This window comes from Homo sapiens, chromosome 12 (genome assembly GCF_000001405.40).
Source record: "Homo sapiens chromosome 12, GRCh38.p14 Primary Assembly".
Lineage (NCBI taxonomy): Eukaryota > Metazoa > Chordata > Mammalia > Primates > Hominidae > Homo > Homo sapiens.
In genome coordinates, this window is record NC_000012.12 from 81,457,018 (window position 1) to 81,483,844 (window position 26,827).

At 36.1% G+C, this 26,827-nt stretch overlaps 1 protein-coding gene and 1 long non-coding RNA gene across 51 annotated transcripts in view; one reads left to right on the forward strand and one right to left on the reverse strand.

The window, feature by feature from the left end:
• The window catches only part of PPFIA2 (PPFI scaffold protein A2), a 501,376-nt gene that overhangs the window by 199,043 nt on the left and 275,506 nt on the right, over positions 1–26,827 (reverse strand). For all 48 annotated transcript variants that reach the window (XM_024449242.2, XM_017020107.3, XM_024449240.2 and 45 more), the window contains one exon: positions 748–849. In XM_024449242.2, coding sequence (XP_024305010.1) covers positions 748–849 — 102 coding nt within the window. The remainder of the gene's footprint in view (positions 1–747; positions 850–26,827) is intronic.
• Positions 1–26,827, forward strand: part of PPFIA2-AS2 (PPFIA2 antisense RNA 2) — a 141,042-nt gene that overhangs the window by 39,913 nt on the left and 74,302 nt on the right. Inside the window, exons 2-4 of one of the 3 annotated variants that reach the window (NR_199034.1) lie at positions 8,222–8,297; positions 14,145–14,291; positions 15,503–15,592. This is a non-coding gene — a long non-coding RNA (PPFIA2 antisense RNA 2). The remainder of the gene's footprint in view (positions 1–8,221; positions 8,298–14,144; positions 14,292–15,502; positions 15,593–26,827) is intronic. The other 2 variants (NR_199033.1, NR_199032.1) reach the window with 2 other exon arrangements.

A 26,827-nucleotide genomic window follows, 5' to 3' on the forward strand; every position in this document is an offset into this window, starting at 1 on the left:
TTTTTTGAGACAGAGTCTCACTCTGTTGCCCAGGCTGGACTGTGGTGGTGCAATCTCGGTTCACTGCAGCCTCTGCCTCCCAGGCCCTCCCAAGTAGCTGGGACTGCAGGTGCGTGCCACCAAGCCTGGCTGACTTTTGTATTTATAGTAGAAATGGGGTTTCACCATGTTGGCCAGGGTGATCTTGAACTCCTGAACTTAGGTGATCCGCCTGCCTTGGCCTCCCAAAGTGCTGGGATTACAGGCATGAGGCATCGCGTCCGGCCTTTTTTTTTTTTTCCTTTTTAAAAAAATCTTCTGCTGGGAGGAGGTGAGAACCAAACCCAGGCCACTCTTTTGTAGCAGCCCTTAATTTAAACTCTTCCTCTTTTCCAAAACTCTCCTCTTTTGCCCATTTCCAACCTCTGAGGGATTACCCTACCCCCAAAACAACCTTTTGAAAGTTTGAAACCCATTATTGAAATCCAGATCTTCTTTTTAAAGCCAAATAAAGTAAAGGCCAGAAGGAATGTGAACATTTTGTAAAGCAACATAGTGATTTAGTAGCTGTGACTATAATTTAGGTTTCCTGTCTTTTTGTTTTGAGTTTTATAGTATATCCTCCTTTACTTTAAGTAACTGAGTTACTATCTGCTTAAAGTAATTATAAAGTTTTAAAATGCATATATTTTCTTCTTATATGTGTGTTACATGTAATGCATTGAACTACAAATAGAATTAATTCCAAAAAGGCTGCTTTACACTTACTCTTGTGTTGTTTCTTTCAGCTTTAAGTTCAGAGATTTCTTCTTCCTTTTCTAGAAGTTGTTCCCTGCAGGCATTTAATTCTTTTGTCAGTGCAGCAAATTCCTGGAAAAGTAATAAAAATATTTGAAGAAATATTCAAGATCTAAAAGCAGAAAAAAATTCAAAATATAAATTTCAAAATGAAAAGAATGGGGAAAAATGACCCCACTGACTGGTCAACATATGTTGCTGTTATGAAGTATCTTAAATACATTATTCAAAACATGCTAATCCATAATATGTGTCATATGCATTTTATTACAGTACACTGCTTAGATGGGTGTATAAAGTATATTTCAAAATATATCAGATACATCACACTGAGCCTAACGTTAATATGATAACTTATTCCTAGAGTAAATTTAAGTTTGGCTAATTTTATGAACAGCTCCCAAAATCTTACACTTTAATTCCTATACAGCAATGTTTATACAGAGTACAGTGGATCTTCAGAACAACCGCAAAAAACCCTGCTAAACATGCTATTTTGAAATTAACAAATTTATTTGTTAACAAGATGAAGCAGAGGAATCTACCTTTTTTTTTTTTTACAAAATAACAAAATAACAAATATGCCTAAGATTTGATAGCATTATCTAAGATTTTCTTATTAATTTGCGTATTGCTCAGTCTTTCTAAAAGGTAAGCTCCATGTGGACAGGGGCTTTGACTTGTTCACGGTTACACCACCAGTGTCTAAGACATAGTGGGAGCTCAAATGGTATTTATTTTTAGTTGATAGAAATAGGTCATATTGTTACAAAAAAATTGGGGATTCTGGAGTAATTCTGTCTTCATGTGGTTAATGACACTGTGAAGGAATCTTCATTGGCCTCCTTCCCCTAAATGGGATCAGAGATCATATGATATGGTATTTTTACCAATAGGTAGAGAGTTTGTTAACACACAGAAAAGGTTATTTAATAAGAAGACCAAAAAATGCAACTATTCTGCTATTCTACCTTATAAACAAATATTTATTTTTTTAAATATAGTAAATAGATCCATATTATCACCAAACCCTTTAGAGTGATTTTCAGTAGTAACACTGATGCTTATCAAATATTTAAGTATTTGGGAAAACTTAGGTCCATGCTGAGAAGTCACTCAGAAGATTAAAAAACATAAAATGAAGGAGACAGGTTTGGTTAACCTAACCTCCAGGGAGGCAAATTTAATAAAAAGTAAATGAATATGATGATTATGCAAAGCTGGGGAAGGTTTGGAGTTTATATTTTTGTTTGCTTCAAATCATTTATTTTGCTTAGTTTCTCTAAAGGGCTTCAGCCCAAGTGAGTACTTCAAAGATCTCAGAGTAGGCTTCAGGGCTTAGATTCTAGATGACAGAGTTTGTTGTTGCTTTTTGGCTGACATAGGGATAAATGTTTTCTTCCCTGATTGCCGCCTGCTTAAATGTTGCTAATACTCTGAGCATATTATTTAGGTGGTAAATGGAAATAAAGCAAATAGAAAACAATAAACCTTTCTCTAGAAAATAAAATTTTCTTCATATACAGCATAGTTTTGATAGAGAAAAGAAGTGATACCTAAAGATTCTTTATTGCACATTATTAACATGTAGGCATTCAGAAAAAATCTTATACTTATGTATATTATAAACATTGACTAAGATAAAACATAACATCTGTATATTTATCATACTAATTATAAAAAATTTATTCATCTATTAGAATTTTAACATTAGATATCTCTAGGCAGTGAAATTATGAATGAATTTTGGTTTTTGGCTTCCACCCAAGTATTTCTATCATCAAACTTTTTACAATGGAGAAATATGTTTTCGTGCTTTGAAAATAAGAGAAAATATAAACCTGTAAGTGCACTGAAACAATCAAGTTTTTAAAGCAGAGGGGAGAAATTAGTGAAGATGTTATAGGCCACAGAAAGCTCGGCCTTTTTTATTATCATGGCACTGATTCTGAGTAGGCTAGTGACTCCATGTATTAAGATTAGTCTTACATTTACTAACTTCCTAGCAACTTTCAGGCACTACTTTCACATTTATTATACCACCTTGCTCTCTAAATACCTAGTGAGGAGGTCTCACTCCCATCTTATGGCTGAGGATACTGAATAATGGTAAGCTGTATGTCTAAGTTCACAAAACTCACAAGCCATAGGGAGTGAGTTAGCTCTGAGCATCATTCTCCACTGCAAGTTTAGTGCTTTTCTACTATTTCACTTTGAACCTAGTTGTTTGTTGGGTTTATATTATTCAGATCTGGAGTACATTTAGAGGTACCCTTTTTCCTTATCTGAAACATTAAATAATATTACTACTGATATGGTTTGGCTCTCTGTCCCCACCCAAATCTCACATTGAATTGTAACAATCCCCACGTGTCAAGGGCAGGAACAGGTGGAGATAATTGAATCATGGGAGCAGTTTCCCTTCATATTGCTTTCCTGATTGTGAGTAAGTTTGAGATCTGATGATTTTATAAAGGGAAACCGCTTTCATTTGGTCCTCATTCTCTCTTGCTGCCATCATGTAAGAAGTGCCTTTTACCTTCCACCATGATTGTGTGGCCTCCCCAGTAACGTGGAGCTGTGAGTCCATTAAACCTCTTTTTCTTTATAAATTACCCAGTCTCGGGTATGTCTTTATCAGCAACGTGAAAAAGAACTAACACAACTACAATTATCTTGCATGATCCCCCTTAATTAGTCCAAGAGTGTGGGGAACTAGAAGGTCCAAAGTATAGTATACCTTCCACACAGAGCAACAAGTGTTAGACAAGTTTGTTCTATGTATCTGAGACTGTGTAGAGGCAGATATCTCACATGGAGTTAACCACCAAACATTTTAACACTTTTCCTCTGACAGTTCTCTTTCCTATACCTATTCTCCTTACTGTGAACATGAACTGAGGCTTACATCATCTTACAAAGATACCACTAACAGCAAATAGGGTTAACATTGATTGCAAACTTACAGTATGTTAGGTCCTCTGCCAAGCAATTTATATTAATTACCTCATCTATCCTAATAACACACCTTAAGAAACTACTAAAATCTCACTGAGGCCTAGAGAAGTTAAGTACATTGTGCAAAGTTACACACCTAGTCCATGATGGAGCTGGGCTTTGAACCCAGACAATCTAACTCATACTGGGTGATTACGATAAGTTGTTTGTTTCCCCTGACCACATTTTCCCTTCTGATTTGTGTTTCAATTTTTGGAAAAATTATATTTCCCAAGGTCATCAAACTTTCAGTGCTTTTTACCTTCAAATATATCAAATTTAAACCAACTTTAACTTTCAAAATTCAAACCACCCAAAACATAACCCTTTCATAACTAATTAGCTTTATTACTTACAGAACAATAGCAACTATTAATACCACTTTGAGCAGTTGGCACTTTGTTTTGCCATGCCCCAAGCTAACCATTTTACATGAATAACTCCATCGACTCCCTATTTTTCAGATGAGGACACTGAAGCTTAGCAGTGATGAATAACTTGTTCAAGGTCACCGCTCAATATGACCCACTTTGATTCTAAAACGTTTAGATTTCTGCAACACTGCCTCCTTCTGGCTAAAAATGGAGTCTCTTTATCAAATGTCTCAAGCATTCTGGGATTATCATCCGTCTAACTATCCAGCCATTCATACAACATTTGTTGACCACTTACCACATATCAGACCCTGTGCTAGATGCTGAAGATATGAAGATAACATAGAACAGTTGTTGCAGTTGACCTCATAGAAATGTCAGAATTCACATTTGAGGCCCATCAGGGATCTCCATCATTAACCAGCACTCAAAACCCATCACCAAAGTGCCACACAGAGTAATACCAGTGTATGCCCTTTAGAAGTCATATGTCCCTCAAAAGCCTCCTTCTTAGATGGTCTATCTTCTGCAACTACTGTGAAACATTTCTCTTTCCTGTTTCCATTTCTACCTTTTCATTTTTTTCAACTTTTTTTCTTGTTTCTTTCACAAACTACCTACTGTGCCTCAAATACTCTTCATCATCCCTCTGCCTAACTAATTCATTTTTAAAAGCACTAGTTAGCCTTCTTAATGCTTTAAAATACCTAGTTGTATTGTTTTTATAACTGAATTATGTGTTCGTCTCCTCCACCTAAACAGTACAATCCTTTAAGGCAAGGTTGTTAGAGTATTTTTATATCCTTAGGTCTTAGCATAGTTCCTGGAAAATTAAGTAAACAGTAAATCCTTGTTGTGATAATAAATAAATGGCTTACTTTCCTCAAACTTTGGACTTTGATACCAAAATAAATTTAGAAGATATTATTGGAGGTTTTTTTTAAATTTTTCTAAGTGAGATCACTATAATTTGCTTAACATATAACAGATATAATATTCTTTTTTACTTTGTAGCTGTTGTTTTGTCTATATTGAAATATGCTATATTCTACACGGCAATGACATTATTGTCTGCCATGCTTTTCTAACATATATATATATATATATATATGTTAGAAAACATATATATATATATATGTTTTCTAAAAGACCCATACATATATATGTCATTTTGCTCTTTGTAGTTGTGACTGATCTAATTCTCTTATCTCACTGATTCAAACACACTTCTACAGATTCCTTTTAATTCAGACATGGTGAAGTATGAATAAAGTTTCCTTCTAAGATTTCTCACTGCTTTAACCTTCTGATAATACTCTGTATTATATATTGTATTCTGTTTCTTACCTTTTTCACTCATATATATGTATGTATGTATGTATATGTGTGTGTGTATATATATGTGTATATATATATATACATATATATATATATATATATATAATATAGCGATTACCTGGAAACTGCCAAATTCAACAAATTATTCAGAAAATCTTCTCTGATCCTGGTAGTTTCTTCAAAGAGATCTGCAGTATACCTCCCACCTAGGAATAGGCTAGCTCTAGTGCTGAAGCTCACTATTATGAAAGCATAATTTTGTGATATAAATATTTGTGTTGAATGCAAAGATACTAGAATGAATGAGAGCATATGCACCTGAGAGAAAATGAATGTGGCAGGAGAAATAATGAAAATATTTTCTATTCCGTAGTGCTTTGGGCCTATTGCTCTGAATAATTCATGCATTTAAATTTATCATTTGTTCATTGGATCTATCACATTGGTCTTATTCATGCTTAAAGTGAAAGTATGTGTTTAACTAATATGGTATTTCTCTAGTCTAGCATTTCTCAAATTATGATTTTAGAACAGTATTTCCACAAGATTCCCAGAAAGGAATTCACTGGGAACAACCTAGACTTCCATATATATAAAAATGTATGATTTAAATATAGTAAATGTGCATGATGGAATATTATGCAAAGGGAAGAATAAACAGGTTAGATCTTTGTACAGCAACATGGAAAGATTTCAAAAATATAATTTTGAGTGAAAAAGGTAAGAAACAGAATACAATGTATAACACAGAGTATTATCAGAAGCTTAAAGTAGTGAGAAATCAATGTTAGAAGGAAACTTTATTCATACTTCATCAAGTCTGAATTAAAAGGAATCTGTAGAAAGAGCTAAGTGTGTTAAAATCAGTGAGATAAGAGAATTAGGTCAGTCGCCAACTACTAAGCATACTCAACAACTTTTCAGACTATTTTGTTCACCAACCTATGCATGGCAAATACTTTCTTTTTCCAAAGAGCAAAGTGACTTTCCCCACTCTATATTTTGTCCTTTGGAATTTTAAAGAACAGTCAAGATCTAGACCACACAGTGCCACAACAGTACCCTCAGCACGAAGGGAGGGGTGCCCTTCTCTTTCTTAGTGTGTCCTCAGGCACATCACAAACACATTTATATGAGCACTCACTATGTAGTGGACCCTGTTTTTAGTGCTGGGAAGATGACAAGCAAAGAAGCAAGTTAAAGTCCCTGCTCTTGATATGTTTACATGCATTCAGGGAATTAATCATTCAAACTACTTTTCTCTGAAATTAATCTTTTCTAGCCATTTCTATCCCTCTCAATAGTAATTCAGCTCATGGTGTAAAGCAATAGTTTCTTTATTTAAAAAAAGAGGAAAATAAAATAACTTTCTTTTCTGTTAATATCTTAAAATTTTGAAAGTATCATTTCTTATACACCAACATAGGACATCTAACTTCTGTGCACTCCTGAATTTGTTACAAGTCTCTTAAATTACATAAAATCTAAAGCTCTTCTATTTCAGCTAATATTCCCAGTTGTTACCTTTTTACTTATTTTCTTCCCCGCTCCCATCATTTTTTTCTTTTAAAAACAGGGTCTCACCTGTCTTTAAAAAAGGACAGGGGTCTTGCTATGTTGTCCAGCTTATCTCAAACTCCTGGCCTCAAGCAATTCTCCCACCTCCACATCAGCTTTCCAAAACACTGGGATTACAGGTGTAAGCCACTGAGCCTTGCTGTTTACTTAACTATCATTTCTTAAGTACTAAGTATATGCTGGGTACATTGTTATGAACTTTACCTCTATTATGTCGTTTAATCATTATAGCAGTGTTATTATTCACAGAACACAGATGAGAAAAGTAGAAGAGATTGTTTCCATCAAAACCCATTCTATTGTATGGCAATGCTGGTGCCAACATCCCTGAAACCTGTCATATCCCAGAGCAAAGATAAGCTGTCTTGTATCTTATCAGTGGTTTCACTCTTTTGTGCTGACTTCTAAGCTAAGGATGAGCTTGAGTAATTCAAGTGTCTGTGCTGCAAATATCTCAAATGACAGGCCTTAGGTCAATATGTTGTTCTTAGTGAGTTTAATGAAAAGAGGCTTCTCTTGTTTTGATCTCTGCATATGTTATTTCCAAAGTGAAAAATACAGGGGCAAAGCATAGATTCACTCAGTTCTTGTGCCTATTTACATTCCTAGACAGGAAATTAAAGAGTGTATAACCTCTTCTGGTCAACTTTCCTCTTGTTTTTAACGTATGCCTTTTCCACCTGGTATATCACCATAGCCTATCGGGCTACCCATTCTCAGACAGACACAGAGCATTCTATTTTTATACAGGTTCATCTTTAAACTCATTTTCTGATATTTAGTAATAAACATAATAGAGCTGGAAAAAAAAAAAAAACTTCTAACTTCCCTGACTCATTTCAGATGGTATGCTTACTTGAGGAGGTTTAATTGAGAAAAAAAATGACATATTTTCTCATTTACTAAATGCTTGAAAGGCTTTGATTTAATAGGTAAGTCCCCACCTCAGGAAAGCTGGTTAGGAGAAGCTGCATGGTAAGAGGAAAATTCAGCCTTTCAATTTCAAGTCAATGACACCAGACAGTCTCCAGAGAAATCTCTGACAATGCATTCATCTTGATTACAATTTTAATACTCTTTACCTTTCAATTAAACCTGCATTTTCTAATCTTGTGGGCCACTTAATTAATGAACTGACAATGGCCTTATTTCTGCAGCCATCTATCTGAGTAAGTCCTGCCTTGAAGAATCGTGAGTGCAAACCAGTTTGAGAGAGAAGAGGAAAAATAAATGGTGAGTTGGAATTCAGCTTCACTAAACACTGCCAACACCCTCACCGACCACAAAAAAGCATCTTTTAAGTTTATTCTTCAACCATTTGTGCAAATCAAAAATAGCGCTCAGGAAAGCATATGGCATGGAAGCATGCTGATTTGACCATCTAGCATTTCAATTAGACAAAATTAACTGCTTCAAAATGCTTTTTTTATAATGACTTCCTTAGTCTAGGCCCCTCATTTACTGTAGTTTGGTGTTTCCTCCTTTGAACTTTAATAATTCTTCTAGCAATTCTATTTGTAATACTCAGTGGAAAGCTTTGGATTTTAAATCTATTTTTATTTGCATATAATTTCACATAAATTTACATGTAAAAAAATATGTATGTTTTTCCCCAAACCACAGGACATACTTTCTAGAACCGATTAATAACAGAAGTATTACATTTGAGAGATATAAACAAAGCAACAAAAAGATAATATATTTCTCAAATTTTATATCTACACTTAGTATATTTGCTGGTAAAAATTCAGAGGAGTCTTTAGAAATTCAGTTTGGAAATCATTTAGTTTGGGAAGAAAGGCATATAGAAATTAATACGTAATCATTATATCACTATGTATATGCAATATTTTTATTTTATTATGTAATCAAATGCAGTGTTAATGACCTCTGTTTTTATAATTGCCTTCTGGTCTCACATGAGCCCAGGGAATGCTGTCATCCAAAATTACTGTGCAAAACAGTAATGTCTCACGGTCAGCCCTGGGCTAGACAGCTTGAAGGTAGAATCGCCTGCATAACTAATGTAATGTGACAGGCACAACTGGACTCAGAATTTTCACAAAAATCATTGGGTAAGATGGCTCAAGTTAAAAGAAAACTGGGTTTAAATTCCATGTGCATTATATTTTGTGCCCCCTTGAATTTTTATGTATCTATATTCTAATTAGAAAGCTTTTTGGTCTTTTTCCTAAAACTGCATAATAGAAGACTATGTTAACATATCATGGTGACTTGGGGGATGCAAGCCTATTTAAAATCCAACATGCTACAAAAGTCATTCCCTTGGTAGATGTGTACTTGGATACTTAGTAACTTTTGTTTTCAAAATCTTCTAATCAAGGTACTTAGAATCTTTCAAAAAGTGGATGTTTGTGGAAATCAAAATTGTCAAGCAGTCTCAGGCTGTCTGTCCATCAAGCCATGAATCATTCACTATGCTCCTACTGAAACGTACCTATCTTATATCTTATTCCCACTCTGCTTTGCTTTGTGGACACCAATTTCTCAATGTATATAGAGAGCTGCCCCAGGTATTAGGCTTTCTTTGACAATAGCTTGCTAGAGATGAGTCAGCTTGTTTTTAAACCCTGGAGAGCCGGTACTACAGATTGTTTTTAAATCCTGGAGAGGTCACTACAGATTGGTTGGGAACGTATTTGGAGGCAAGGTAGGGTTTTCTCAGTATCCCCACAATGGCTGTTCTGCTGCACTGCATTGCTTCTGTGGGCCCTAGTCACATTTGTCTTCTTGGGCCCATTCATCTATTAAAAAATATATATAATTTTTAATATATATAATATATTATATTAAATATAATATATAATAAATAATATTAAATGTAATAAATAATATACATAAATATATATATATTAAAAACCATGCAGTTTTTTTCTTTAATGGTAACTGAAACGTAACTCGAGATTCACCTACCCAAGGCTCATTTTACTCATTGCCCTTTTTCTTTGGAAGGCACTAATACTGAAACTAATTTTATATCAGGGACAAGAGGATTATCTTCAAGCATAATAATAAAAAAGAGAGAGTTCTACTATATCATTAGCAAACTAGCATGGCAGAAGTGATTGACATTAGTGTGATACAGTAAAAATACTCAGCACATTTTTGGAGAGAATATATCTTACTGTACCCCTCTGTTCCTGTGTTCCTGCAGTAATTCTTGCTGATCAAAAATTTACATTACGACTACCTAAGACACATCAAGTGACATTCTATAATGTTAATGTATATAAGGGTAGAGCCTATGAGGAAATTCTCTAGATATCATAAAACAGTTCTTAAAAGCTTTCTTAAACATGTCTCTGGCCAGGCGTGGTGGCTCACGCTTGTAATCCCAGCACTGTGGGAGGCCAAGGCGAGCGGATTACCTGAGCTCAGGAGTTCGAGAACAGCCTGGGCAACACAGTGAAACCCTGTCTCCAATAAAATACAAAAAAATTAAAAATATCCCTCAGTATCTATGGAATTAGAACATGTTACATTATTTGAACATTTGATGACACCATGTCATGTCAGTGTGTCCTTTATCTTCTATTATCGTCTCCTCATCTCTCTGATTGCATCTATTATCACTAACCCAGGGCTCACACACCTCTCAAGATGTTTTCTGGTGTCTGAAATGCAATGATAGTATAAAACATATTTGAGAACTTTTTAATGAACCCTTGCATTGCTTGTTCTGAGATGCTGTTTTGAGAGGAGCCCAGCTGCCTACAAGTCTGACCAGAATCCAGGGTTAAAGCCTGAAGTCTTTCACAGATTCCCTGACCCAGGTGGGAAGGATGCTCCCTATTGAATGAAGCTCCCACCTCACCCTTTGGGCTCCTGCTCTAAGTTTGAGTGGCTGCCTTGTTCCCATATCCTGTCCCTCTGCATAATATTACTAGAATGAGAAGGAGACAAACCCAACGGCTTAGAACCAAGACTGAAGTTACTCACTCCAAGTTTCCTTTTCCTTTGACTTGCTCCATCTCCCCTTCATTTTTCTCCAATAGAAAAAAATAAAACAAAACCTTGTTCTGGTCTTATTGTATGAAAGAAGAGAGAGGGAGGTCATCAGGAAGCAATTCTAACAGAGGAACCAACCTACTTCTTCAGCCAATTAATGCTCTTGTCCTTAATTCTGACTCATCTTTATGGAGGAGAGGGAAAGAATCTTCAATCTCTATAAATGCCCAAAAGATATATTTGCTTATTTGATGCTTCATGCATTTGTACATTTATTAAAACTCGACATTCTAAGTACATTAGTACAATCACCAGGCCCAGTAAGCATTGTAGTTAAAGCATGTCAGGGCTGAGTCATTGCCAACCAAAAACTCTTTTGGCAGGAAAAGCCAATTTTCAACAGCTCTGACAGTGTAAAGCAGGAGGCATGTTTGACAAGATGCTGCATATTAATTTAAAAGACTTTAGCATCTGGTTAGGTAACACCTGCTGTGGCAAACACTCCCAGACACACAAAATAGCATTCGAGCTGAATATTTAAATCTCCCAACATAGCTCAACAAAGCTCTAACTCTAAACAAAACAAAACAAAACAAAATCACATCTCTAGCAATCAGTTATAATTATATAACCAAAAATATTTGGGCTACAACATTGTTTGCTGTTCACTGAGCTGAAATGCTGTAGTGGGTGCTATAAAAGTTGTAAAATCTATTGAAACATATTTTCCTGCCTTGAAGAATTTAACTGTGTACAACATTTAAAATTGCACACTGTAGCTCAGAAAATAGCACTTTGTGTTATAATATGTTATATCAATATACAGCTAAGAAGTTTATCACTGGGGGGTGGGGGGTGAAAGCATTAAATAACAGAGTAAAAGAAGCAAACCATGAGAGAGAAATCTGGAAAGACTCTTCTAGCCACTCTCTCTGTGAAAGTACATCCCAGCCTAAGAATTGTAGTTGTCTGGCAATAGAGGCGTATGAGAGTTCTGGAATTGTTAGGACACACTAACATGACACGGTGTCATCAAATGTTCAAATAATGTAACATGCTCTAATTCCATAGATACTGAGGGATATTTTTTAATTACTCAATTTTTTATGTCATTTACTGTAGAGAAGGAGCTTGCCCTTGTCAGCCTAGTTTGGATACTGGCTCACTTGACAATGCATTTCTCTCTGCAAATTTTAAAAACTGACACTTTGATTATTTCTCTATTTACTCGACAAAATTTTATTGGATGCCTAATATGTAGGAGAGCCTGTGAAATTTTTCAGACAATACAATGTGTACAATGGTGAAAAAGACATCGTAAATAGAAGTAAGTGAACAATAATTACAATGAAATGTGATAAACGCTGTGATGGGGTTATATCCAGGGTGCCCCGCATGCACCCCTGTAGGAGGGTATGTGCGTGAAGGGGGCATCTAAGATGAAATGTGAAAAATGAGTAAGAGCCAGGCAAAATGTATGTTGAATGAAAATTCTTCCAGATAAAGGGAGCATCATGAGCAACTTTCTAAGATCCAAAAGAGCCTAAGCATACTAAACCTATAAAATTCTTACAGAAATACATAGAGGTAAATCTTTGCAATCTTGGATTAGGTAATGGTTTCTTAAATGTGACGCCAAAAGCTCATACAACACAAGTTAAAATAGTCCAGACTCCATATGCTATGACTGAATTGTGTCACCAAATGCATATGTTGAAGCCCTAATCCCCAACATGGTGGTATGTGGAGATGGGAACGTTGGGAAATCATTAGGTTTAGATGAAGTCATGAGTGTAGTGCTCTCCAGCTGGGATTATTTCCCATTTTAGAAGAGGAAGGGACACCAGAGCTCTCTCTCTGCTATGTGAGGGCACAGCGAGAAGGCAGCCATCTGCAAGCCAGAACGAGGTCTCAGCAGAACCCATCCATGCTGAAACTCTGATCTCAGGTTTCCAGCCTCCAGAACTGCGAGGAAATATATCTTTGTTGATTAAGCCATCCAGTCTATGGTATTTTGTTATGGAAGCCAGAGTTAATTAATATACCATAAAGTTAAGATGTTTACACTTCGAGTAGTATCATTAAGAAAGTGAAAGACAATCCACAGAATGAGACAAAATATGAGCAAACTATATATCTGATAAAGGGCTGGTTGTCAAAATATATAAATAACTATTACAATTCTATAATAAGAAGACAAATAACCAAATTTATACATGAACAGATAATCTGAATACACAGCTCTCTAAAGATAAGTAGCCAAAAAGCACATGGAAAGCTGTTCCACATCATTAATCGTCAGAGAAATGAAAGTCAAAAGCACAGTGAAATACAATTTCACATAACCTAGAATGGCTATAATCAAAAACACAAATAAGCATTGGCAAAGATGCAGAGGAGCCTCATACACTGCTGGTGGGAGTGTAATATGGTGCAGCCACTTTGCAAAACAGTTTGTCAGTTTCTCAAGCGGTAAAACATAGAGTTATCGTATGGTCTAGCAATTTCTCTACTAGGTATATACCCAAGAAAATTGAAAACATATGTCCACACAGAATCTTGTACATGAATGTTCATAGCAGTGTTATTCATTATATCTAAAAGGTGGAAACAATCCAAATGTTCAACAGTGGAGGAATGAATTTTTAAAATGCATATACTTTTTTGTTGTTTTATTTCATATCGTTTTATTTTCTGTGATAAGAACATTTAACATGATATCTGACCTCTTAACAGATTTCTAAGTACACAATACCTAAATTGTAAACCAAAGGCACTATGTTGATCAGTACATGTCTGGAACAAACTCATCTTGCACAATTGTAATTTTATACCCATTGAACAACAGCTACCCACATACCCCTTCCCCCATCTGCTGGTAACCAATGTTCTGTTGTCTACTTCTATTTCTGTAACTATTTTAGATGCCACATATGTGAGGAATCATGCAGTAGTTGTCCTTCTGTAACTGACTTATTTCCCTCAGCACAATGTCTTCCAGGTCCTTTCATGTTGTCACAAATGGTAGGATTTCATTCTTCATTTTTTTGTCTTTCCTTTATTTATTTATTTATTTATTTATTTATTTATTTATTTATTTATTTGAGACAGAGTCGTGCTCTGTCTTCCAGGCTGGAATGCAGTGGTATGATCACAACTCACAACTTACTGCATCCTCTACCTCCTGAGCTCAAGGGGAATCCTTCCACTTCAGCCTCCAAGGTGGCTGGGACCATAGATACACTCCACTACTCAAAGGTAGTTTTATTTTTATTTATTTATTTATTTATTTTGGTAAAAAAGAGATCTCCCTATATTTCCCAGGCTGGTCTCGAACTCCTGGGCTCAAGGGATCCTGCTGCTTCAGCCTCCCAAAGTGCTGAGATTTCAGCCATGAGCCACAGTGCCTGGCTTGGGTTTCCTTTTTTTTTTTTTCAAGGGTGAATAATTTTCTATTGTTTGAATATATCACACTTTCTTTATCCATTCATCTATTGATGGACATTTAGGTTGTTTTAATTTCTTGGTTATTCTGAAAAATGTTACAAAGGACCTAGGGGTGCAGATGTTTCTTCAAGATTCTGATTTTAATATCTTTGGTTATATACCCAGAAGTGGGATTGCTGGATCATATGCTCATCTTATTTTTAATTTTTTTGTGAAACCTCCATACTATTTTCCATAGTGGCTGTACCCTATTACATTTCCACCAACAGTGAATATGGGTTTCAATTTCTCCACAACCTTGCCAGCATTTGTTTTCTTTTGCTTTTCATTTTTGAAAATAGCCATTCTAACAGGTACTAGGTGACATAAGGAAATTTTTGAGGTGATGAACATGTTTATTACCTGAATTCCATTGTGGTGATTGTAACATGAGTATATACATATGTCCAACCTCACAAAATTGTATACATTAATTATATGAAGAGTTTTTTTAAACAAATACACACAAGGAAATATTATTCAACAATAAAAAGAAATGTAGTATACATGCTATAATATGGATGCTCCTTGAAAAATATGCTAAGTTAAAGAAGCCAGTCACAAAGGACCATATTGTTGTATGATCCTCTTAATATTTAATGTCCAGAATAGGCAAATATACAGAAACAGAAAATGAATTAGTGGTTACCTAGGGCTAGGGGAGTTGGAGAGATTGGAGGAGGTGAGAGCTAAGGAGCTCTGGATTTCCTTCTGGGGTAACAAAAATATTCCAAAATTAATTGTGATGAGGATGCACAATTTTGCGAATATACTAAATGCCAATGAATTGCATTTTTAATGGCTGAATAAAATGGTATGTGTTGTTGCAATAAAGCTGTTTAAATAACAGTAGTTCAGTTTGGATGGAATGGAGGGTAAGCTATGTTAGTTATTTTGGTCTTTGGTAAAAGGCAATAATGGGCACCATGGAAGGAATTTAGGCAGGTGAATGACATTATTAACTTTATCTTCCTTATTATTAGTTTAGCAACCACTCAAGGAAATTTAAAACACTAAATTTCTGGACTTGCCAGACTAAGGGCCAGACTCTGGACCTCACCAAATTCATCAAGGTAATGTAACCCTGAAATATTCTTTTTAGTAACCAGTATGCTTGTGGACACTTAATTCTTTTAACATCAATAGCATTTATTGATTGTTGCCATTGGACCCATCCTTATGACCATCTTAACATCTCCTTCCCCAGCAAAAAAACAAAACAAAACAGAACAAAAAAAACTAAAAACAAATAATGCTTCACATTAAAAATATGCCATTTTCTCTCCTGTTCCTAGGGGACTTCCCTTGCTATGAGTATCTTGCTGGTCAGTAGAAGCAGAAAGAATCTCAGATGACTCTGCTTTCTTGGGAAGCACTTTGTAAAATACAATTTTCAAAAAGAAAAAATATATAAAATTACTCACATATTATCTTAATCTTTGCAATTATTCATAAGCAGTTTGCAAAGACTCATAGTAGGAATAACTCTTGAATTCTCTCTATCCTGTAGCTATTTACTCATTTATGGAACAAGCCTTGTAAGTATTGAATTGCTACAGAAACATATATGTACATAAAACTGCATGTAGGGCCGGGTGCGGTGACTCACGCCTGTAATCCCAGCACTCTGGGGGGCTGAGGTGCGTGGATCACCTGCTGTCAAGAGTTCCAGACCAGCCTGGCCAACATGGTGAAACCTTGTCTCTACCAAAAATACAAAAATTAGCTGGGCATGATGTGGGGGCGCCTGTAATCTCAGCTACTAGGGAGGCTGAGGCACAAGAATGGCTTGAACCCGGGAGGCGGAGGTTGCAGTGAGCCGAGATTGAGCCATTGCACTCTAGTCTGGGCAACAGAGTGAGACTCCACCTCAAACAAACAAACAAAAAAATTCCATATTGGTAGCAAAATATATAACTGGGTATATAACAAATTGAATTTTTGCTATTTTATACCATCTTCCTACAGCTTCATCAGATAAACCACATGTGTGATAACACTCTGTACTCCTTCGCCTGAGACATGAAATTATCATGACATTTTTCCTGAAGCAGCCGCATAATATTCCTTGATGCTGGACTTTAGGCAGCAACTACTTAATAACCCAAACTGGCACCCAAGATGAATTTTATTGGCCATGCTGTTCTGGAATTGTAAATTTTTTACATCTCCTTCAAAATATAAAGTATAGATCATAGTCCAAGTTAGAAAAATATCCTACCAAAAATTGTCCAACTGCAGAACCATGACTTTGCTTATTATTTACTTATATCAATAAATTACATTAGAATGATTGACTGTTGTCCATGTTATGCACAGAAATCAACATAAGATAATCACCTTATTTGACTGCAGGGCCATAGCATTCCTTACTCATTTTTATTTATGTAATAAATAATGTTACCTGGGAAAATGGAAAAACGGCTATGTGTCAAAGTGTGTATTCAGATGTTCTTTCTTCTCACATTTTTCTTTAACAATATATTTCAAGAGAAAGACTATATTTCAAGTAAGAACTCCAATCTTTTTTTAATAGGAAAAAATGTTTAACACCAAGGTAGGAAAATATTCTCAACATTTCCTTCGTGTAGAATTGTATTCTTTATTTTTAAATTTTAATTAACTAATTTGTTTTGAGATACAGTCTCACCACTTCGTCAAGCAGGCTGGAGAGCAGTGGTGCTCTCTCGGCTCACTGCAACCTCCACCTCCCGGTTTCAAGCAATTCTTGTGCCTCAGCCTCCCCAGTAGCTGGAATTACAGGCATCTACCGCCAAGCACAGCTAATTTTTGTATTTTTAGTAGAGACGGGGTCTTGCCATGTTTTTTGGGCTGCTCTCAAACTCCTGGCCTCAAGTGATCCACTGGCCTCAGCCTCCCAAACTGCTGGGATTACAGGCATGCACCACCACACCCAGCTAATTTTTGTATTTTTAGTAGAGATGAGGTTTCACCATGCTGGCTCCACTGGTCTTGAACCCCTGACCTCAAGTGATCCGCCTGTGCCAGCCTCCCAAAGTGCTGAGATTACAGGCATGAGCTATTGAGCCTGGCCCTCTTGTGGAGTTTAAAATTTTTCTTTTAAACAATCCCAAATTTGTAAATACATACTAGCACCAGTATCATTTTGTTATAACTTAACTGCTGTGAAATATAATTATTACTTTTTGACTGTATTCTTTAAAAATCCTGTAATACACTTCATAAGCAAAAATTGTTATTATTTCTAAATGTTTTTCCATGAATTAAAGAAGGTTTAGCCTTCTTCTAATGAACTATAAGTTTGCTAATTTTGCCCTATTGTTTTGTATAGATCACTCTTAGAATCATTTAGGTGATAAAGTCACTAGCAGATACAAAAGAGGGACTCTGACTGACTGAAAAATCTAGATAGATGTTGAAAATGTGAATTATTTATAATAGAATAATACACAACACAAAAATAAAATGGTATTTTAAGATTAATGAGATTTCTAGGTGAATTATTTCCAATTTTAATTATTCATACTACTCTTTCTTTGATTTTTGTTAGTAATCTTGGATAGTCAATCTTCAGATCCCACTAAGACAGAACACTAGAAGCTTTAATTCTATTCTGTCATACAAACCTCTGTATCTAGATGATAAACTCTGTGAGAACCAGAACTAAAACTTTCTGGCCTTCGTTATTTTGCCAGCTCCTTACATAGGGCCTGAAATAGAGACTGTGTATTTGTTAAAGGACCATGGTAAAAGGATCACATTTAGTAACTAAAGTTTGATGCAGATTAGTAAGCATTTTTATTTAAGTAAAAATAAGAACAAAAAATTTGTTCCTGATAAACCTATTGGTGAATGAATCTTAAAACATGGCATATATGTTTCATTATTTTAAAACTGTTATTCTGTAAACATTTTAAACTTATTTTATATAATGTGTTTTATAATTTTAAAATTCGAGAATACAATTTGCTATTTATTATTTCTCCTGATTCTAGCACAAGGAAACATAGTTCTTCCCGTGATTTTAAATATTGACTTGCAAGCTCATATTTGGTTATTTTAATCCGTTGAGATTTCTTCTGTAATGTCCACCTGAAGGCACTTCAGAGAGAATATATATTTTCCTTCTGCTAGGCACTATGAATCAAGGACTACTTTAAGTTGAAAGGGTTAAAAATGTGAACGCTGATCTTTTTGTTATTGTTGTTGTTTTGAGACGAGTCTCCTTCTGTCGCCCAGGCTGGAGTGTAGTGGCGCGATCTCGGCTCACTGCAAGCTCCGCCTCCTGAGTTCATGCCATTCTCCTTCTCAGCCTCCAGAGTAGCTGGGACTACAGGTGCCCGCCACCAAGGCCGGCTAATTCTTTGTATTTTTAGTAGAGACGGGGTTTCACCTTGTTAGCCAGGATGGTCTCAATCACCTGACCTTGTGACGATCATTTTTAAGGACAGCAATGTGGTAACTTTTTATTGTCCCTCCACCTTAGCTCAAGCTTATATTAATGGTCAAACTGATGTCTTTTTGTTGATGATAAGTTTCTTCTAGGCTAGTCTATGTCTTTCAGAGTGAAGCTCCTCAGAGGCTCTGGACTTATGCTGAAGTTTTAGTTTGACCTCCTTTCATTCCTCAAGTTTCTAGTTCCTGGAATCAGCAAATATCTACAGGGTGCTCCAGCTTTCAGAATACACTCTGCTGGTTTTTAATGATTTGGTTTTTCATGAAAGTGATGTTGAGAGTTTAAAAGCATTTGTGTTGCATTTAGTCTAGGTTTTTGTAGTGAGAAGTCTTTCAGACTTTCCTATTTGCCACACAGTCTAAAGCAGAAGTTGAATATGATGAAATATTTATAGATGTTAAGCTCCAATACTGAATATTAAAAGCAATTCAAGCCATTGCAGAATCATCCCTGAAAATTTGTATTTATTTTCTCTCTGCCAGTTACCTAGTTTGTGAGACACATGATTAAATGTGACATAAAAATTAAGTTCATAAAGAAAAATACAATAAATCTATATTTATATCACATAAATATGAACTGTAAAATAATTCAGTCAACTAAAACAGATTCACATTTCAATAGTGAAAGTGCTCTCTGTTAAGAAGTTTGGTCTGCATTGTGGAAGACAGTGTGGCAATTCCTCAAAGACCTAGAACCAGAAATACCATTTGACCCAGCAATCCAATTACTGGGTATATACCCAAAGGAATATAAACCATTCTATTTTAAAGATACATGCACACAAGTGTTCATTGCAGCAGTATTCACAACAGCAAAGACATGGAACCAACTCAATGCCTATCAATGATAGACTGGATAAAGAAAATGTGGTGCATAAACACCATGGAATAGTATGCATCCATAAAAAGGAACGAGATCATGTCCTTTGCAGGGACATGGATGAAGCTGGAAGCCATTATCCACAGCAAGCTAACCCAGGAACAGAAAACCAAACACTACATGTTCTCACTGATATGTGGGAGCTGAACAATGAGAACACATGGACACAGGGAGGGGAACACACACTGGAGCCTGTCTGGGTGGTAGCGGGGGAAGGGAGAGCATCAGGAAAAATAGCTAATGTATGCTGTGCTTAATACTTAGGTGATGGGTTGATGGGGGCAGCTAACCACCACAGCACACATTTACCTATGTAACAAACGTGCACATACTGTACATGTACCCTGGAACTTAAAATAAAATTTAAAAAAAGAAAAAAAAGGAAATTTAGTCTGAAGAAGAAAGACAAAACCTCAGGATTGAGAGAAAAGGAGGAGAGAGAGCTACTTTCAATTATTTGAAAAGGCTTTCACCTGGAAAGCCTTTGACAAAGTTCCTTTGACAGAGAATGATTATGAAGAAGTCAGGAAAACATATTTTTACAAAATGATATATTCCACCATTTGTTCATTGAATATTTTGAAAGTGATGGCCATGTGTGAAAATCTGTGCTGGTCTTGTGCCGGTCTTCAAAGGGAATGCTTCCAGCTTTTGCCCATTCTGTATGATATTGGCTGTGGGTTTGTCATAAATCGCTTGTATTATTTTGAGATCCATTCCATCAGTACTTAGTTTATTGAGAGTTTTTAGTATGAAGGAATGTTGAATTTTATCGAAGGCCTTTTCTGCTTCTATTGAGATAATCATGTAGTTTTTGTCATTGGTTCTGTTTATGTGATGAATTACATTTATTGATTTGCATATGTTGAACCAGCCTTGCATCCTAGGGGTGAAGCCGACTTGATCGTGGTGGATAAGCTTTTTGATATGCTGCTAGATTCAGTTTGCCAGTATTTTATTGAGGATTTTCGCATTGATGTTCATCAGGAATATTGGCCTGAAATTTTTTTTTTTTTTAATTGTTGGATCTCTGCCAGGTTTTGGTATCAGGATGATGCTGGCCTCATAAAATGAGTTAGGGAGGAGTCCCTCTTTTTCTATTGTTTGGAATAGTTTCAGAAGGGATGGTACCAGCTCCTCTTTGTACCTCTGGTGGAATTCGGCTGTGAATCCATCTTGTCCTGGGCTTTTTTTGGTTGGTAGGCTATTAATTACTGCCTCAATTTCAGATCTTGTTATATGTCTATTCAGGGATTCGACTTCTTCTTAGGTTAGTCTTCGGAGGGTGTATATGTCCAGGAATTTACCCATTTCTTCTAGATTTTCTAGTTTATTTGCATAGAGATGTTTATAGTATTCTCTGACGGTAGTTTGTATTTCTGTGGGATCAGTACTGATATCTCCTTTATCATTTTTTTTATTGTGTCTATTTGATTCTTCTCTCTTTTCTTCTTTATTAGTCTGGCTAGCAGTCTATCTATTTTGTTAATCTTTTCAAAAAACCACATTCTGGATTCATTGATTTTTTTGAAGGATTTTACGTCTCTATCCCTTCAGATCTGCTCTGATCTTAGTTATTTCTTGTCTTCTGCTAGGTTTTGAATTTGTTTGATCCTGCTTCTCTGGTTCTTTTAATTGTGATTTTAGGTTGTTCATTTTAGATTTTAGATCTTTCCTGCTTTCTCCTGTGGACATTTAATGCTATAAATTTCCCTCTAAACACTGCTTTAGCTGTGTCCCAGATATTCTGCTACATTGTGTCTTTGTTCTTATTGGTTTCAAAGAACTTATTTATTTCTGCCTTAATTTCATTATTTACCTAGTAGTCATTCAGGAGCAGGTTATCCAGTTTCCATGTAGTTGTGTGGTTTTAAGTCAGTTTCTTAATCCTGAGTTCTAATTTAATTGCACTGTGGTCTGAGAGACGGTTTGTTATGATTTCCTTTCTTTTGCATTATCTGAGGAGTGTTTTACTTCCAATTATGTGGTCAATTTTAGAATAAGTGCGATGTGGTGCTGAGAAGAATGTATATTCTGTTGATTCGGAGTGGAGAGTTCTGTGGATGTCTATTGAGTCCACTTGGTCCAGAGCTGAATTCGAGTCCTGAATATCCTTATTAATTTTCTGTCTCATTGAGCTATTTAATATTGACAGTGGGGTGTTAAGGTCTCCCACTATTACTGTGTGGGAGTCTAAGTCTCTTTCTAGGTCTCTAAGAACTTGCTGTATAAATCTGGGTGCTCCTGTATTGGGTCCATATATATTTAGGATAGTTAGCTCTACTTGTTGCATTGATCCCTTTACCAGTATGTAATGGCCTTCTTTGTCTTTTTTGATCTTTGTTGGTTTAAAGTCTGTTTTATCAGAGACCAGGATTGCAACCCCTGCTTTTTTGTTTGTTTGTTTGTTTCCACTTGCTTGGTAAATATTCCTCCGTCCCTTTATTTTCAGCCTATGTGTGTATTTGCATGTGAGATGGTTCTCCTGAATACAGCACACCGATAGGTCTTGACTCTTTATCCAATTTGCCAGTCTGTATCTTTTAACTGGGGCATTTAGCCTTTACATTTAAGGTTAATATTTTCACGTGTGAATTTAATCTTGTCATTATGATGCTAGCTGGTTATTTTGCCCATTAGTTGATGCAGTTTCTTCATAGAGTCGATGGTCTTTACAATTTGGTATGTTTTTGCAGTGGCTGATACTGGTTTTTCCTTTCCATATTTAGTGCTTCCTTCAGGAGCGCTTGTAAGGCAGGCCTGGTGGTGACAAAATCTCTCAGCATTTGCTTGTCTGTAAAGGATTTTATTTTTCCTTTGCTTATGAAGCTTAGTTTGACTGAATATGAAATCTGGGTTGAAAATTCTTTTCTTTAAGAATGTTGAATATTGGCCTCCACTCTTCTGCAGAGAGATCCGTGGTTAGTCTGATGGACTTCCCTTTGTGGGTAACCCGACATTTTTCTCTGGCTGCCCTTAACATTTTTTCTTTCATTTCAACCTTGGTGAATCTGATGATTATGTGTCTTGGGGTTGCTCTTCTCGAGGAGTCTCTTTGTGTTGTTCTCTGCATTTCCTGAATTTGAATGTTTGGCCTGTCTTGCTAGGTTGGGGAAGTTCTCCTGGATAGTATCCTGACGAGTATTTTCCAACTTAGTTCCATTCTCCCCATCACTTTCAGGTACACCAATCAAACGTAGGTTTGGTCTTTTCACATAGTCCCATATTTCTTGGAGGCTTTGTTTGTTGCTTTTCTTTCTTTTTTTCTCTAATCTTGTCTTCACACTTTATTTCATTAAGTTAATCTTCAATCTCTGATGTCCTTTCTTCCACTTGATCGATTTCACTATTGATACTTGTGTATGCTTCATGAAGTACTCGTGTTGTGTTTTTTAGCTCCATCAGGTCATTTATGTTCTTCTCTAAACTGGTCGTTTTAGTTAGCAATTCCTCTAACCTTTTTTCAAGGTTCTTAGCTTCCTTGTATGGGGTTGGAACATGATGCTTTATCTCAGAGGAGTTTGTTATTACCCACCTTCTGAAGCCTACTTCTGTCAATTCATCAAACTCATTATCTGTCCAGTTTTATTCCCTTGCTGGTAAGGAGCTGTGATCCTTTGGAGGAGAAGAGACATATTGGTTTTGGGAATATTCAGTCTTTTTGCACTTTTTTCCTCATCTTCGTGGATTTATCTACCTTTGGTCTTTGATGTTGGTGACCTTCGGATGGGGTTTCTGTGTGGATGTCCTTTTTGTTGATGTTGATGCTCTTCCTTTGTATTTGTTAGTTTTCCTTCTAACAGTCAGGCCCCTCTGCTGCAGGTCTGCTTGAGTTTGCTAGAAGTCCACTCCAGACCCTGTTTGCCTGGGTATCACCAGAGGAGGCTGCAGACAGCAAAGATTGCTGCCTGTTCCTTCATCTGGAAGCTTCCTCCCAGAGGGGCACCTACCAGATGCCAGCCAGAGCTCAGCTGTATGAGGTGTGTCCTCTCTTACCACTCCTATTCAACATAGTATTGGAAGTTCTGGCCACAGCAATCAGGAAAGAGAAAGAAATAAAAGGTATTCAAATAGGAAGAGAGGAAGTCAAATTGTCTCTGTTTGCAGATGACATAATTGTATATTTGGAAAACCCCACAGTCTCAGCAAAAAAATCTCCCGAAGCTGATAAGCAGCTTCAACAAAGTCTCAGGATACAAAACCAATGTGTAAAAATCACAAGCATTCCTATACACCAATAATAGAGAAACAGAGAGCCAAATCATGAGTGAACTACCATTCACAATTGCTACAAAGTGAATAAAATACATAGGAATACAACTCACAAGGGATGTGTAGGACCTCTTCAACTAGAACTACAAACAACTGCTCAAGGAAATAAGAGAGGACACAAACAAATGGAGAAACATTCCAAGCTCATGGATAGGAAGAACGAATATCGTGAAAATGGCCATACTGCCCAAGGTAATTTATAGATTCAATGCTATTCCCATCAAACTACCATTGACTTTCTTCACAGAATTAGAAAAAACTACTTTAAATTTCATATGGAACCAATAAAGAGCCCGCATAGCCAAGACAATACTAAACAAAAAGAACAAAGCTGGACACATCATGCTACCTGACTGCAAACGATGCTACAAGGCTACAGTAACCAAAACATCATGGTACTGGTACCAAAAAAAATACATAGACCAATGGAACAGAACAGAAGCCTCAGAATATGCCACACATCTACCACTATCTGATCTTTGACAAACCTGACAAAAACAAGCAATGGGGAAAGGAAATCCATACTTCATCAATGGTGCTGGGAAAACTGGCTAGCCATATGCAGAAAACTGAAACTGGACCACTTCCTTACAACTCATACAAAAATTAACTCAAGGTGGTTTAAAGACTTGAATGTAAGACCTAAAACCATAAAAACCCTAGAAGAATAACTAGGTAATACCATTCAGGACATAGGCATGGGCAAAGACTTCATGACTGAAACACCAAAAGCAAGGGCAACAAAAGCCAAAATTGATAAATGGGAGCTAATTAAACTAAAGAGCTTCTGCACAGCAAAAGAAACTATCATCAGAGTGAAAAGGAAACCTACAGAATGGGAGAAAATTTTTGCAATCTATCCATCTGACAAAGGGCTAATATCCAGAATCTACAAAGAACTTAAACAAATTAACAAGAAAGAAACAACCCCATCAAAAAGTGGGCAAAGGACATGAACAGACACTTCTCAAAAGAAGACATTTATGCGGCCAACAAACATGAAAAAAAAAGCTCATCATCACTGTTCATTAAAGAAATGCACATTAAAACCACAATGAGATACCATCTCATGCCAGTTAGAATGGCAATTATTAAAAAGTCAGGAAACAACAGATGCTGGAGAGGATGTGGAGAAATAGGAACGCTTTTACACTGTTGTTGGGATTGTAAGTTAGTTCAACCATTGTGGAAGACAGTGTGGCAATTCCTCAAGGATCTAGAACCAGAAATATCATTTGATCCAGCAATCCCATTACTGGGTATATACCCAAAGGATTATAATTCATTCTACTATAAAGACACATGCACACATATGTTTACTGCAGCACTGTTCACAATAGCAAAGGCTTGGAACCCACCCATATGTCCATCAGTGATAGACGGATAAAGAAAATGTGGCACATATACACCATGGAATACTATGCAGCCATAAAAACGGATGAGTTCATGTCCTTTGCAGGGACATGGATGAAGCTGGAAACCATCATTCTCAGCTAACCAACACAGGAACAGAAAACCAAACACTGCATGTTCTCACTCATAACGGGGAGCTGAACAATGAGAACACATGGACACAGGGAGGGGAACATCACACACTGGATCCTGTCAGCCAGTGGGGGATAGGGGAGGGATAGCATTACGAGAAATACCTAATAGCTGTAGCTGATGGGTTGATGGGTGTAGCAAACCACCATGGCACATGTGTACTTATGTAACAAACCTGCAGGTTCTGCACATGTATCCCAGAACTTATATATATATATATACTGTGCTGGGATCACAAAGAATAAACTGTGTTCCAGTGCTAAAATTCTGCTTACAGTTTAAGAAGACACAATTTCAGGATATACTATGATACATATTATTTGTGATAAAAATTGAATTGTGTTTTATAAATGTGAGATAGAATAATTCTGCCACAACAGCTGTGCATATTAAAAAGTTATGTAGAACCCTACATTAAGCAATTCATCATTGCTGGCAGAACTGCAAAATGGCACAGTCACTTTGAAAAATAGCGTAGAATTTATTTGAAATGTTAGAGTTACCATATAACCTAGCAATTCCACTTCTAGTTATACATACAAGGTAAATGAAAACACATGTCTATAAAAAAGCTTTTATATGCGTGTTCATAGTAGCATTATTCATAATAGCCAATAAATGAAAACAACCCAAATATCTATTAACTAATGAATGGATAAATAAAATTTGTACAGCCATGCAGTGGAATATTAATTGGCAATATGAAGAAATAAAGTATTTATAAGCTATAACAAAGATTAATCTTGAAAGCAAAAGACCCCATATTGTAAAATTTCAGTTACAGTATATGAAATGTCCAGAACAGCAAATCCATAGAGGAAGAAAGTAGCCTGGTAGTTGCCAGGGCCTTGGAGGTGGGGCAAGTGGGGAATAATTGCTAATAGATACAGAGAAGAGGGTGATGCACATGATCTAAAGTTAGATGGTGGTGAAGGTTGCTCAACTCTGTGAATAAGCTAAAAAAAACACTGAACTATACACTTTAAAAGGTGAATTTTATGCTATTTTTTTTTCTTAATACAGTTGTTATGAAAAACTGTAAGGAAAAAACTATCTAAGGTATTTAAAAATCAAAATGGAAAATAACTTTCATAGAAGGTTCTATTTCTGAAGTTTAATATTTTCAATTCTATAAGATATATATTTCAATTTTAATGAAATTTCTGCTGTA